At 38.3% G+C, this 15775-nt stretch overlaps 1 protein-coding gene across 8 annotated transcripts in view; it reads right to left on the reverse strand.

Moving 5' to 3' along the window:
- Nucleotides 1-15775, reverse strand: part of PCNX2 (pecanex 2) — a 343895-nt gene that overhangs the window by 111137 nt on the left and 216983 nt on the right. For 7 of the 8 annotated variants that reach the window (XM_047430870.1, NM_014801.4, XM_047430871.1 and 4 more), the window contains one exon: nt 1184-1292. The exons of the other annotated variant lie outside the window; for it this stretch is intronic. In XM_047430870.1, the coding sequence (XP_047286826.1) occupies nt 1184-1292 (109 nt within the window). The remainder of the gene's footprint in view (nt 1-1183; nt 1293-15775) is intronic. 8 annotated transcript variants of the gene reach the window in all.

Here is a 15775-nt window from a genome sequence, read left to right on the forward strand (position 1 = left end):
AAAAGTTAGGGCCTGGAAGAAATCATTTTTCAAAATATAAAATATATTATCACTCAAGGATTATCCTAAGTATGTTTCCATTCCTGTACACCAAGTTAAGGTCATAGAGATTCCTTAAGAATTGTCTTAATGAGCCTTATGTAAATTTCATATGGAAGAGAGTTCTGAGTGGTCATTCAAGTTAGCTAACAGCAGCCCTGATGGATTGCCAGAGTTGAGAACTGTGGTTTACACACACTGATGGCATAAGAATCACCAAGAAAGCTTGTGGAAAGACAGATTCTAGGATCCCGCCCAGTGAAATTTGATTTAAAAAGTATGAGTTGGGTCCAGGAATCTACTTAGTTAATTAGTTCCTCCAGGGATTCTGATGCAAGTGGTCCCTGTTTCCTGGGAAACACACAGGTTTAAAAACTCTAAATTCACTGGGAAGGAAAACCTTTGAGGACATATTTTAGGCCTGAGTCAAATTTTAATTAATCTCTTTCTTCAAGAGTATTTTTAAAGCAATTTCTCTCTCCGCTTCCCCTTACCCACGCGTGCACATATATAAAACTTAGCTATCAATGTCAAAGTGATGTTTAGAAGGAGCATCTCAAAATTTGTTATGAAGTAAATTAAAACTATTATGTAAACATTGTAAAACACACATGGAAACCAAGGCTTCTTGGCTAATAGCCACTAAAAGACCATAATTTAATTTTTTAGTCTTCCCAATGCTGTTTGTACCTAATCTTGTGTTTCTGAATATTACTGAAGTATAATATGATAACCATACTATAAAATAATATACACTTGATAAAAATGTATTGAATGCATTAAACCTATCCACAATGCTTAATAACAGCAAATTTATTTGCACTATTTTGCACAAGGCAACCCAATCATTTAAGCAGTTTAAAAGACAGGGTACCTTAATGCAGATCTGGGCATGGGAAATGGAAGGACCAGAAAAAATAAAAGTAACTCCTGAATATGCATTAAGAAGCAGGAAGAGTTCAAAATAAAGAAATATCTTTTAAGGCTAAGTGGCCTAAAGGGATCCAAAGTGCCTCTTCATGTCCCCATTAAAATGTAATCTTATAGACTTTAAAATCTTTTTATTGCCAGGGGTCAATGAAAAGCTTGCTTCCGTAAAATGTGAATCTCAGCTGGAGGGTGAAAATAGAAGCAGAAAGGATACGAGGAATGGCAAAGAGCTGAGCAAACACGTGAAACGAAGAACCCCAAGCCATCTGCCAAGGAGCCACATATGTCAGGACGAACTGTAACTTGTGAAGCAGGTCCCCGAGCTGAAAGTAAAAGAAAAAAAATTCATCAGAGAGGACAATGACAACAGTGGTAACTGCATCAAGGTCACTTAAAGGACATTTGTCAAGGTTAGGAAGGGGCAGTGAAACTACTCTCTGCCCTCTTACTGTGATCTTCCTGCATCTCATGTGGAATGCAGCCATTTAATGATATTTTGAAACAGCAATAGGCTGATCAGAAGAAATCTTGCATGGTTAATCTCAACGGATTTATTATTTCAACCTATATATATGGTGTATCTCTTTGCCTTTCTCAGAAGAACAATCACACCTTGGTCTTTCCTCCTTCATATTGGATCTTTTGGAGGGAGTACACACAGAAACCTATCATCATTTGACATTGTTGAGGTTTTTGCGTGTTAATTTCATTTTACCTCTTCAGCTGCTCCTACTGGAGAAAATAGCTCCATATCATTGAAATGCAAGTTACAAAGTACTTTAGAAAGCTAAGACAGGATATGAAGCTATTGCATTGGCCAGACAAGCCAGCACAAGGAAAAATCGAGTTTTGGGAAGATATGGAAAATACAGAAGAGAGACCTCACATACGGTGAACAGTTCAGTGGTTTGACTGGAGATGGAGATGATGACTGTGTAGGGAAGGATAGAGAAGGATGGACTACTCTGTCTTTAGATCTCTGCATTGTGGTAAGAAGTGACTAATGAATCCCAGATGCAAAATTCTGCTGCTGTCACTTCTAGATGCGGTCAGTCAGTATCCCACCAGGATTTCTCTCCCCAAAATCCACATCTGATCTTCTTCCATAATGAAAACTTCAAATAGCATGCCATGTTTGTTCCTAGACTGACTAGCATTTGAGACAATAAAATACATTCACCAAGGCCATGATGTGAAATGAGAAGAAAAAATATAATTTTTAATTAGGCTCAATAGCCATTATATAAAACAGAAGGTCACAATGAAAACAGGGCAAGGGTTGGGCAATGGGGCCATTAAGAAAGTATTCAAGGAACCAAGATAACTGAGCCCTTCCATGAAAAGCCAACCTGGTGATTTTGGAACCCAAAGATGAGGTGACCCTGATTTGTTCCATGAAATGTAATGAGGCAAAAGGAGGTTAATTAGAATCCTCTCCAAATCTCTGCCTCACTTTTCTGGTCTCTACTGATTCTCATAAATATTCTGGTTTAGGAGAAAAACTTTAAAGTAGAATAAAACATTATTGGGTAGGCCATAGTATATGAACCAAGAATAAAAGGTCTCTCAAAGGCACAGCAAACAGAGAGAATCCTTAAGAAGTCACAGGCATCTGGTTATGCATAGAACCCCTGACCTAAAAACATGTCTACCAGAGCCTCTAGTTACAAACCTAGCACTGAGTTTTAGGTGAAAGCTGAAGAATTTTAGATAGAAGAGAATGGAAGAATGATAGGGAGTGTGGCAGACAGTGAGAGGGAAAGAAAAAAATAGGGGAAACAGGGAAGATAAAGGGAGGATTAAAAAAAAAAAGCAAAGAAATGAAAAATGACAGGAAAACTAGATGATGTGATCAGGCTTGGGGAGCTATAAGGAAATATCAATTCCAGGAAAGGAAAAGAGGAGTTTGTTTTTTGCTCATAACTTTTCACTTTCTTTACTCTTACTCACTTGCATCAACCATAGAGGATTGATCTCGATTGGTTTCCAAGATCTTTCAGAAAGGCCACTTTTGTTTTAATCCTGGAGTTGATTTCAGCCTCCTGAATCCATTTTAGATGGGACTCCACAGCCCCCAGTGCCTTTGAGAGTATGTCAGTTGAAAGAACAACCCGTCACTCTGTCAACCTGAGGTCCAGTCTTACAAGTTTACATAAAATATAGTCATTTCCCTACCATCTTACTTTTTACCAGTCATTAGGTGACTCCTACAGATCAAGAAACGGATAGTTCTAACACAACTTCAAACTCTTGACTCACTTCTGTGAAGAGACACGATTTGCATTAAAAGTGAATATCATTTCCTTTTATCTCCACCATTAACCCAACTAGAAGGGGAACACATCAAGTGCCCAAGAGAAGACATGACTTCTGGGTTACCAACCAGGGCAAAAGTCTTGAAAAGTGGTGGTGGGCTCTCCTGCACATGTGTACCTAATCAAACTCTATCAGAAAAAATACCTCTGGATTTGAAATCTTCTAGTCACCCCCCTATTAAGAATTCTTAGTTGAGTTATTAAGAATTAATCTTGTGACTCATGTCTAGGTGAAAACTGCAAGCATGAACAAGATTACCTCATATGATGTATTGCCCCCAAATGCCCTAAAAAATGAATCATGAGTTATGGAAAGTTACTCCTGTTAGGCTTTCTGTGTATTCCTGTATCCTGGGAGGCATTTAAGCCACCTTTTGAAAAAGCTGATAAGTAGGTCAGCTACAGCAACTATAATCAGACTGGCTGCCCCAGGGAAAGCTTCATCTGCAAGTTGGAAGCTCTAACAAGTTAAACTTTGCTGCGTTATGATTAAATGAATCCATTACAATTATTTTCTGCTTAGCACAGCAACTTGTATTTACACATAAGAAAAACCAGTAATCAGACATCTAAGGATTCCAGATATAAGCACTCTCCTGCTCTAATTGCAGCCAAAGCCCCAGGTATCCTTGTTCTTTTCCTATGACTCTCTATGCCTTCTTTTTTTTTTCATGAACTTTGTGAAGAATAAAATACATGCTTTGTAAAGCCTTTCAACATGAAGCTCATAAAATAGACTCCACTGTTCTCAATCATTGAAGAAGCCAGATCTCCTGAATGTCATTTCTTTATGTAGTAATGATTCCTCTACAACACAGTAATTTTAATGCTCCTCTATGAAGCCCACCAGAAAAAGGATGTGTTCTAGATGAGTCAGATGCTAACACATGCCAATATTTAAAAGCATCAGCTTAAGGGCACGCTGCCTGAGTTTGAATCCCACCTCTACCTCTGGTCATATATTTCTGGATCTATAAAATGGCGATGATAATATTACCCCCTCAAAGTGTCATCTGAGGATAAAATGGCTTCATCTTTGTTAAAAGCTTAGAACAGTGCCTGGCAAACATAAATGTTACAAAAGAGTTTGATAAATGTTAGGACAAGTGGATATCTTATTCACAACCTAGTAATTTTAGAGCCCTCTTCTTCCCAAAACTGAAACTTACCAAGTCCAGGTCCTCTCATTTTTCAGAGAAGGAAACCAGGCTCAGAGAGATTAAGTGGATTGCTTAGGTCAGACAGCAAGTTACTGGCCCATCTGAAACCAGAGATCAAAGTTCCTGATTCTCCACCCAGTGATATTTCTTTCACCCAACTTTACCATGCCTCCTTGAGGCCATGGGCCTTCTGTGAACTACAGCAATAGGAAGAACCTGCCTGACATGCAGCAGCTACAGAAAGGTCCCCTTTATCCAAGATTTCCTGCTGACAGCAGAGGGGCAGGATCACAAGCATGAACATCACACACTATAGCAGCAGCCATGATTCAGAAAAATTATGGCTGCAGCCACGTTCTTTCAGGTACACAGTAAAAAAGGACCTGATCTGCCCTGAAACATCCTTTTCAGTAAAAAAAGCCTAATTAATAAAATATGATACTACCCAAAAAGCCTGATGACACTCGAGGGATCTCAAAACGGCCGACTGCTGGCTTACTTGTGCTTCTCGAATGTACAACTCCAAAAAGATTGATTTGGCTCATGTATTTTATTCTTACAGTGTGGAGAGACATGATCCAGGTTTAAAAAGACTCAACTTCATATTTTCCCTTTACACTTTCCCCTTCTCTTTAAGGGTAAAATCAGGTAAAATAATTTAAAATGAGTGTGTATCAAAACAGCAATTTCTAAGCACAAAAGAAAACCTAAATATTGATCATCAATGAGAAAAGTATATGAAGAGGGACCTCCTGCACCACACTGGCCATTGTGTATAAAATAATGAAACATTTAAGATAAGACTTAATGGAAACAGCCACACCAACACCTTTCCAGTAAGCAGGGCCGCAAGCACTATAATATTGTATTGAAGTACTTTAAATAGAAATCTCATTTAGATTAGCTATGAACTTGCATCTCCTTAGACAGTTTGAGGTCTTTGTTTTTATGAAGCTTATCTCACTCCTAACATTCTACTTCCAAGATCTTAAATCTCAGCGCTATGAAAATGCATAATAAACTTTACAAGTTACTGGAATATAAGAGAAAACAAAATCATTTGGGTTTTTTTCCACTTAAAACACTAGGAAAAGAGTAAAGAAAATCACAATGAGGGCCGGGCGCGGGGGCTCACGCCTGTAATCCCAGCACTTTGGGAGGCCATGGCAGGCAGATCACCAGAGGTCAGGAGTTCCAGAACAGCCTGGCCAATGTGGTGAAACCCCATCTCTACTAAAAATACAAAAATTAGCCGAGCGTGGTGGCTCGCACCTATAATCCCATCCCAGCTACTCAGGAGGCTGAGGCAGAAGAATCACTTGAACCTGGGAAGCAGAAGTTTCAGTGAGCTGAGATCGTGCCACTGCACTCCAGCCTGGGTGACAGAGAGAGATTCTGTCTCAAAAAAAAAAAAAAAAAAAAAAGAAAATCACAATGGAGTAATTATGGCTGTTTCCCAAGGAAAGTCACCATAAATACTCTCATTTCAAATGACCTATTTTGGAAATATCTTTTCAATTAGACCTAGACATGCTGTTATATCTCTGCTATAGATAGTAAATACACAAACCAGCTTGAGAGAAATGTCTCCAAATAAAGGTGACCCCAAAACTTTTCTTTGCTAATACACTTGCAATAAGGCATATGCTATCTTCAGTCTGGAGACACCCCTCCCACACACACTGTCTTTCCCTCAATGAAATAACTGGCTACTTACAGAATTTTCTTATATTTGGGCATTGTCTTAGGAAGCTATACATCCATTTGATTAAAGTGCAATTTTCTCTCCAAATCCCACTCATCACCTTTTCGCCTATTTCTCCATCCTTACTAATCTCCCAGATTCATTCTATCATTTGCCATTTTTTGCATTTTGTTGTATTCAGTTAGTTCTTTCTCAGCTTCAGTTAATTTCACCCCAAATTTGGAATTACCAATATTTGAACTTAACGGGGTATACAAGGCTGAATGGCATCGCAGAAACTGGCTGCTGAGTTAAAGATGCATGCAGTTCAAAGTGAGAGAACAGGAAGAAGCTGAGGCTCTTGAGTGCTTGGAAAGGAGCAGACAAGATGAGAAGAAATTTGGAGGTTCACAGGGAACCACGTTAATGAATTGAGGAGGGAGCCCAGCTGAGGGATTAAAAGCCGGAAACAAAGGAATTGTGGAAAACCATCAGATGTTTTGAGGCATAGGTGGTGATATGGGGAAAAGAAAAATGTTCAAGAAGGAATAGAAAAAGTAAAGCTAGTGACATCTCAAATGTAGGCCACCATTTCTGGGGGAGGGGAAGCACCACTCTTCCAGAATAACAAGTTGTTAACAGAAAATATGATCATTCAATTTGGGGATATTAAATATTTCCAAATAGTAGCTGACAATATGAGATAGAATTTTGTAAAGTAAAAAACATCTTCAGACAATGGTTATAACTCATTACAAGAGTGACTCTCAGGCCAGAAGCAGATTCTACCTCAGTAGACAATGTGTGTTGGGAGCCCATTAAATAGCATCCATCAGACTTTGCAAAATATTGATAGGCTTCATGGAGCATGGTAATGCATAAGGGATACCATCCATGATAAAAATAATATAATCAAAAAAGTTGTAAGAAAAAAATAAATTAATAGTTAACTCAAAAAAGGGGGCACTCCCCCAGCCCCTGTAACAGTCAGAAGCAAAGAGGTAATTTGAAATAAGAATGGTTAAGTCTGAACTGACACCATGCCAACCCAAAGGGAACACAGACATGGATATAGGTCTTAGGAGCTGAGGAATTGGGTTTTAGCATATTTGAATAGGTTCCATGTCCATAAAGAGCAAATTATAAAAAACTTCATTTACCAGTGCTGGAAAAAAGCAAAAAGAGTTTGCCTTCTGCCTGCTGTAGAGTAGATAAAAATCTGTCATCCATGATAAACCAAAACCTCAAGTCCTCATAATACAGGGCAGTGGGATTTAAATTTAAACTGTTCCAGTAAGGTGAAAATTTAAAAACAAGAAACTAACATAAAAAGTAGTGGAGGATGATAAAACTTCCTCACAGGAGTAAATGCATGAGATTCATTTTTCTTTTTTTTTTTTTTTTTTGGCTCCCATGAGTGACAACATACAACATTTGTCTTTCTGTGCCTGGTTTATCTCACTTAACATAATGTCCTCCAGTTCCAATCATGTTGTTGCAAATTGACAGGATTTTATTTGTTTTATGGTTGAATAAATTCCATTGTGTATATATACACGGTTTCTTTATCCATTCATCTGCTGATGGGGACTGAGGTTGATTCCATATTTTGGCTGTTGTGAATAGTGCTATCATAAACATGGGGGCACAGATATCTTTTTAATATGGCGATTTCTTTTCTTTTGGATAGATAGCCAGCCTTGGGATTGCCAGATGACATTTCAGTTCTAGTTTTAGCTTTTTGAGGACCCTGCATACTGTTTTCCATAGTGACTGTATTCATTCACTTTCCCGCCAACAGGGTATAAGTGCTTCCCTTACTTGCTAGCCTTTGTAACATTCTGATAACAGCCATTTTAACTGGGGTGAGATGATAGCTGATTGTGGTTTTGAGTTTCACTTCTCTGATGATTAGTGATGTAGAGCACTTTTTCATATACTTGTTGCCCATTTGTATGTCTTCTTTTGAGAAATGTCTATTCAGAACTTTTGCCCATTTCTAAATTGTTATTAATTTTTTTTGCTATTTAGTTGTTTGAGTTCCTAATATATTGTCGTTATTAATCCCTTGTGAGTTGAATATTTTGTAAATATTTCTCTCCCATTTTGTGGGGTTGTCTCTTCACTTTGTTTATTCTTTCCTTTGCTGTGCAGAAGCTTTTTAGCTTGATATAATCCCATTTCTCAATTTTGGCCTCGGTTGTCTGTGCTTTTGAGGCCTTACTCAATAAATCTTTGCCCAGTCCAAGGTCCTGAAGCATTTCCCCAGTGTTTTCTTCTAGTATTGTTTCATAGTTTCAGGTCTTATATTATTTAAGTCTTTAATCTACTTTGATTTGAGTTTTGTGTATGGTGAGAGATAGGATGAAACTAGATGTTTCATCCCTCTGAATATACATATCCAGTTTTTCCAGCATCATTTATAATGTTTTTAAGTTTTTAACTTTTGTGAGTGCATGGTAGGTGTATATATTTATGGGATACATGAGATATTTTGGTATAGGCATGCAATACGTAATAATCACATCATGGAAAATTGGGTATCTATTCCCTCAAGCATTTATCCTTTGTGTTATAAATAATCCAGTTATATTCTTTTAGTTCCTTTCAAATGTACAATTAATTTATTATTGACTACAGTCTCCTTGTTATGTTATCAAACACAAGGTATTATTCACTTTTTCTATTTTTTTTATACCCATTAACCATCACCACCTCCTCCCAATGTGCCCTTAATACCCCCAACCCAGCCTCTGGTAACCATCCTTCTATTCTCTATCTCTAAGAGTTCAATTGTTTTGATTTGTACATCCCACAAATAGATGAGAATATATAATGTTTATCTTTCTGTGCCCAGCTTTTTTTACTTAACATAATGACCTCCAGTTCCATCCATGTTGTTGCAAATGATAGAATTCTTTTTTATGGCTGAATAGTACTCCATTGTGTATAAGTACCACATTTTAAAAAATCCATTTACCTATTGATGGACACCTCAGTTGCTTCCAAATCTTGGCTATTGTGAATAGTGCTGCAACAAACATAGGAGTGCAGATATCTCTTCAATATACTGATTTCCCTTCTTTGGGGGCATACAGCCAGCAGTGGGATTGCTGGATCATATGGAAACTCTATTTTTAGTTTTTTGAGGAACTTCCAAACTGTTCTCTATAGTGGTTTACTAATTAACATTCCCACCAATAATGCAAGAGGGTTCTCATTTCTCCACATCCTCACCAGCATTTGTTATCATCTGACTTTTGGATAAAAGCCAGGTGATGCTGATGCTGCCAGTCTGGGGACCACATATTGCAAATCATTGCACTAAAGGGCTAGAAACACAGTATTCAATTTTCAAAGTACTAGAGGAAAAAAAGGACCAAAAAATTTCATTTTGTTCAATAGATGGTAAGAAAGAAAAGGTGGAGAGACAAAGAAAAAGCATCATGAACATAAAGCCAACAAAAAATACCATGGTAGAAAAAAGTCCAAACATATCAGTAATCTCAGTAAATGTAAACAGATAAAATTTGCCTATCAAAATACAGACTCTCGGTCTGCCTTAAAAATAAAAATCTTGTTAGATTTAGAAGAAATATTAAAGTCACCTAAAAATTTTAGGCAAAATAATTTTTAAAAAATCAATACATTTTTACCAAAATAAAGTTTCCTTACCTCTTTTAATAGTAAGCAAAATATTGAGGCTTTTACTCAAAATAGAATACATAGCAGTACATAATGATGAAAGGAGAGTGTCACCAGGAAGATAAAATAATTGAAATGTATACACTTAGCCATGTAGTCTCAAAAATATCTGAAGTAAAAATAGGTAGAATTACAAGGAAAGATTAATAAATCTATAATCATAGGGGAAGCTTTTAAGATACCTAGCTCAGAAAATGATAGTTCAATTAGACAATAAATAAGCATATGAAATATTTGACCGACAGAATTAACAAGCTTCATCTAAGAGATATGTATATTAGAACCTTACACCAACCAAAAGAGAAAGAATATAATTTTCAAACATAGGTACATTTAAAACAATTGATGCCTTACTAAAGTACAAAAGTAGTCTGATCCATGCCAAAAATTAATATCATGCACAGTTTTACAATTAAATTAGAAGTCAATAATAAAAAGTTGGCAAAATAACAATTGTAATAATCACAATCCTTTGGATTTGCATGTAATAAAAACAATGGAAATAACAGTTAAGAATAAATTATAATGAAAATTAGAACATATTTTAAAATGAATGACAATGAAAAGCAGTAGTACCAACTAGAACTTTTAGAACCCAGGTAAAGCAATCTGTAGAGGAGAAGATATTGCCTTAAAATGTGCATCTTAGAAAAACTTCACAGTCCATATTGGCAGGCTATTTCCTAATGTAAAAATTCAACAAGGATATTATGAGAAAGAAAATATATTCTTATCTATGAATATAAATGAAAAAACTCTGAATGAACTATTTACAAAATGAATCTATAAATGTATAAAAACACATCATCATCAAATCTGGTCCACTTCATAATGATATAGTATTAGGAAAAGATGTTAATGTAATTCACAAAATTGAGAAAGTAAAAAAGAAAAACTGTATGTTGCTCAATTGGTGCAGAAAGGACGTTGAAAAATAAATTCAACACCCATTCATAAACATCCCTTACAAACTAGTAATAAAAGAGTTCTTTTTAAACCTCATAGAGGATACCAGAGCTATGTTGCAATAAACACTGTATTTAGCAATAGAATTTCAGGATTATTCAGACAAGAGGCATTAAACAAGATGAATCTGATTAACCTAAAACAGAAGAGTGAAAAGAAAATTACTAAGGGAGACTAAAATATAAGGAGAGAGAAAGGAACATGGGGTAATAGTTTATCACCTGTGAAGTACAGTTTGGGAGATTTTAACTAAAAAGAAAAACAGAAACAATGCAGGGATGATAGTATCCAGCAGGAGTAGGCTACTTAGGCAAGTAAATGTGGCGTTAATAAAGGAAACGCAACAAGCCCTGATTCTTTGATTAGCTGACCTTATGCAGCCAGACACATTCAGACCCTTAAGAGAACACACTAGACAGAAAATATTATTTTAAGGTCATATTTCATGACTGCTAATTAGTGTATCCATAAACACAAATGAAGTCGACATTGCACATTGAAATTGTATAATCTACCAAGATGTAGGAATGCACAAAACTCAAAGGTCTCCTCTGGACTCCTGAGAATTAGGATCTAAATGTAATCCTGGGTCTGTGTGTTTCTGCATGTGTTGGGGTCTGGAGCTTTAGCTTAAGGATGTATGGGGAGGTGGGCCATTGAGGAAGGAAGCAAGGGTGGACTTCAATAAAGAAGAAACAGGAGATAATGACAGTGACTGACGAGGGAGAGATGCTTTTGTTCTCTAAGTATCCTGCTCATTTCACCTTGGAGTGAAGTGGTAGAAACAACACAGTTTATGCACACACTCTGTCTTCCTTTACAGTTTCCTGCATCTTTAATTCCATGTTAGCCTTCCTCTAACTATTCCATATATGAAACAGCTTCTCCATCTTTGAGTTGTATTCTATTTAGCTCTCTCTTCCTTGTGGAGAAGAAGCAGCTTCCTGGATTCTGTTGGGGGCTTCCTCTCCTCCCTCTTTTTTTTTTTTTTTTTTTTTTTGAGATGGAATCTCGCTGTGTTGCCCAGTCTGGAATGCAGTGATGCAATCTTGGCTCGCTGCAACCTCTGCCTCCCACGTTCAAGCGATTCTCCTGCCTCAGCCTCTCGAGTAGCTGTGACTGCAGGCACGTGCCACCACACCTGGCTAACTTTTTGTGTTTTTAGTAGAGACGGGGTTTCACCGTGTTAGTCAGGACGGTCTCGATCTCCTTACCTCGTGATCCGCCCGCCTCAGCCTCCCAAAGTGCAGGGATTACAGGCTTCCTCCCTCTTAAAGGTCTTATAATCTTGTGTGTAGCGAATCCTGCCCTTGGGAAATGGGTATGACAGCCAAGTTCATTCACCTCCTATCAGGATGCATGCTGCTTGCTTTTACCCACATGGTATTTCAGCAAGATAAACAATGTTAATGTATGAACTATAAGGCAACTTTTTGTAATGCCCTCCTGTCCCTCTAATCTTCTGCATACCTCTCTGGATATCTAACTTACACATTGTCCTGAGATTTTTCTATTTGTAATAACATTTCATCAATCTAGTACATATAGGAATAAGATGGTTCAGGTAGTGATTTTTCCATATAACTGAAGCTTTCTCTTGTAAACACTGAAACTTTCCACATTTATGCTTTATGCTCTTTAAAACAAAATATAATAATACGAGTTAACTTAAAAAAAAAGTACAGAGTTACACAAAGTGTACAGTGAAAGTTTCTGTTATCTGCTTTACTCTGACCTAACTTCCAGTACCAATCACAGTTAATGACTATTTGAGGAGTTATCCTTCCTGCATTTTCTGCACTTGAACATGTATTATACACACACACACACACACACACACACAAAACCATGCACAGCCTTTTTATGTAACTTGAATTAACAAGGTTGGGTGCAGTTTGTAGTCCCAGCTACTCAGAAGACTGAGGAGGAATCACTTGAGCCCTGGAGATCCAGGCTGCAGTGAGCTGTGATCAAGCCACTCCATTCCAGCCTGGGTGACACAGTGAGATCCTGACTCGAAAAAACAAACAAACAAACAAACAAACAAAAAGAGCCCTGCTAACATTATTTATCCTGGGTAAGGCTATGTCTCAATCATGATCCACACTGGGACATTCCAGCTATGTGAAGCAATATAGTTTCAATTTTGAGTTGTATTTTTGACATTTGCCAACAAAAACCTCTAATATACCAAATTTATCCAAATTTCATGTAAAATTAAAATACTTCAGAAGGCTTCTGGTTTCTTCTCTGGGATATACAAAGCTGTAAAGCATGTTTCTTCCACACTTACAATGAAAAAAAAAAAACCCACAAACTTTAAATACATGACTTTTCTAAAAATCTCATTACAGAACTGAGTTGTAGAGCAGACAGCTCTCAGAGGCACGTAAACCAGAACAACTGCATGTTGAATAGGAGCTGAGTAAAATGAGGCTGAAACCTACTGGGCTGCATTCCCAGACACTTAAGGCATCCTAAGTCACAGGATGAGAGAGGAAGTTGGCACAAATTACAGGTCATAAAGACCTTGCTGATAAAACAGGTTGAGGTAAAGAAGCTGGCCAAAACCCACCAAAACCAAGATGGCGATGAGCGTGACCTCTGTAGTCCTCACTGCTACACTCCCACCAGCGCCGTGACAGTTTACAAATGCCATGGCAACGTCAGGAAGTTACCCTATATGGTCTAAAAAGGGGAGACATGAATATTCCACCCCTTGTTTAGCATATACTCAAGAAATAACCATAGAAATGGGCCACCAGCAGCCTTCTGGGCTGCGTTGTCTGTGGAGGATCCATTCTTTTATTCCTTCACTTCCTTAATAAACTTGCTTTCACTTTCTACTGCAGACTCACCCTAAATTCTTTCTTGTGCGAGATCCAAGAACCCTCTTTTGGGGTCTGGATTGGGAATCCTTTCCTGTACCACACCTAGTCCAAAATCTGAGGAGAGAAAGATACCTTCAGGGAGAAAAGAGACAATAAGCACTCACTCACCTGGGGCAGATGCAACCAAAGCTGGTGGGAAGATTTTGGCCAGTGGAATCGATGAGTTGGTGAACACAGCTATGTGTGGGCTGGTGGGACAGTGTAAAGCCTTAGGGAGCCATAGAAATTGCCGGCTCCTTCTCTCAGAATTCTACAGGGTGTTCACAGAAAAGACTGGTGAGCACCCTAAGAACATGTCTGATGTGGCGCAGACCTGAAGGGAGAAAAGGCAGACATGCACAGGAGCACACGGCTCAGCCGGGCCCTTCTGCCAACTCTCCAATGGAACAAAAATTGTAATCTGTGGAGGAAAGGTCAATAAATGCTGTTGTCTTTAGGGCACTGATGAAAACTCACTGCAGCTGGGAGGGAAGGGATTGTTTAAAAATGAGAAACTCTCCTTCTGAGGAAGGGGCAGGAACACCTGCTGGGCCCAGGATTACAGACAGGGGAGAGAGGAAAGCTCAGGATGCATCCCTGAGACCAAGGGGTTTCATTAGAAAATTAATCAGAATGTCCTCCGTGTCCCACCCCCTGCCACCAAGGTAACAAGTTGCAAGTAAAGAGTAAAACATATACCAATGGGAGAGGGACAGGAAAGGTATAAGAGCATGCAGCCACTCTGAGGTGCAGCCTGAAAGCTGGGGACCCAGCAGACTTCACTCTGGCAACCCCGCCTCACTCTCCAACCTGAACACAAGTTATCCCTCCAGGAATTCAGGGTCCATGATGCCCTGAGGATAACCACAGCAACAACAAAGCTCAACAGTGTCCCACTCGCCAACTAGGTTCATTCAACTCCTCCCCCCATATCAGAAGTCTAGCAAAGGAAATGTATGCACATTTTCAGGCATAAAAACTATTTACCTCAGTCTCTATGGGCCTCCACAGAACATCCAGCTGTCAACCAAAAATTATGAGGCACACAAAAGGGCAAGAAAAAAAATTCACTCCTAGAAGATAAAGCCGTAATCAAAGTAAGACTCAGAGATGACACATATAGTGGAACGATCTGACAGGGGATTTAAAAGAACTGTGATTAATATGTTAAGGGCTGTACTGGAAAACAACGCCGGATGAAAGATTGAATGGGTAATCTCCGCAGAGAGATGGAAACTATAAAATAAAAAGTCAAGTGGAAATGATAGAAGTGAAAAACACAGTCACAGATATAGAAGGCTTTCTTTCCACAGGTTCATCACACTGGACACAGTCGAGGAAATAATCAGTGAACATGAAGACAGGTCAGCAGCAATGGCCCACACTGACACACAAAAATACAACTGAGTTCAAAACTGCAAACATTACTGAGTATCCAAAACCTTCAGAGCAATACCAAATTGTCTAACATAGGCATGTTTTGAACCTCAGAAAGAGAAGAGGAAGAGGGCAGAACAAAAGAAATATTTGAATAAATAATAGCCAATAAATTTCCAAAATGACAGACACCAAACCACAGATTCAGAAGATCAGGCAGGGCGCAGTGGCTCACACCTGTAATCCCAGATCTTTGGGAGGCCCAGGCGGGCAAATCACCTGAGGTCTGGAGAAACACCATCTCTACTAAAAATATAAAAATTAGCCGGGCTGTGGTGGCACATGCCTGTAATCCCAACTACTCAGGAGACTGAGGTGGGAGAATCACTTGAACCCAGGAGGCAGAGGTTATAGTGAGCTGAGATGGTGCCACTGCACTCCAGCCTGGGTGACAGAGGGAGACCCTGTCTCAAAAAATAAAAAAAATTAAAAAAAGGAAGATCAGATAGTACCAAGGAGCATAAATATACAAATGAACAAATGAATAAATAAACAAACAACAAAAACCATATGCAACAACTGCTGGAAACAAAAGACATATATTCAAACTGCTGAAAACAAACGACAAAAAGAAATCTTGAAGGCAGCCAGAAAAAAGACATATTCCACAGAGAAGAACAAAGGTAAGCCTTGCAGAAGACTCCTCAGAAACCATGCAAGCCAGCAGGT

Source organism: Homo sapiens, chromosome 1, assembly GCF_000001405.40.
Source record: "Homo sapiens chromosome 1, GRCh38.p14 Primary Assembly".
Lineage (NCBI taxonomy): Eukaryota > Metazoa > Chordata > Mammalia > Primates > Hominidae > Homo > Homo sapiens.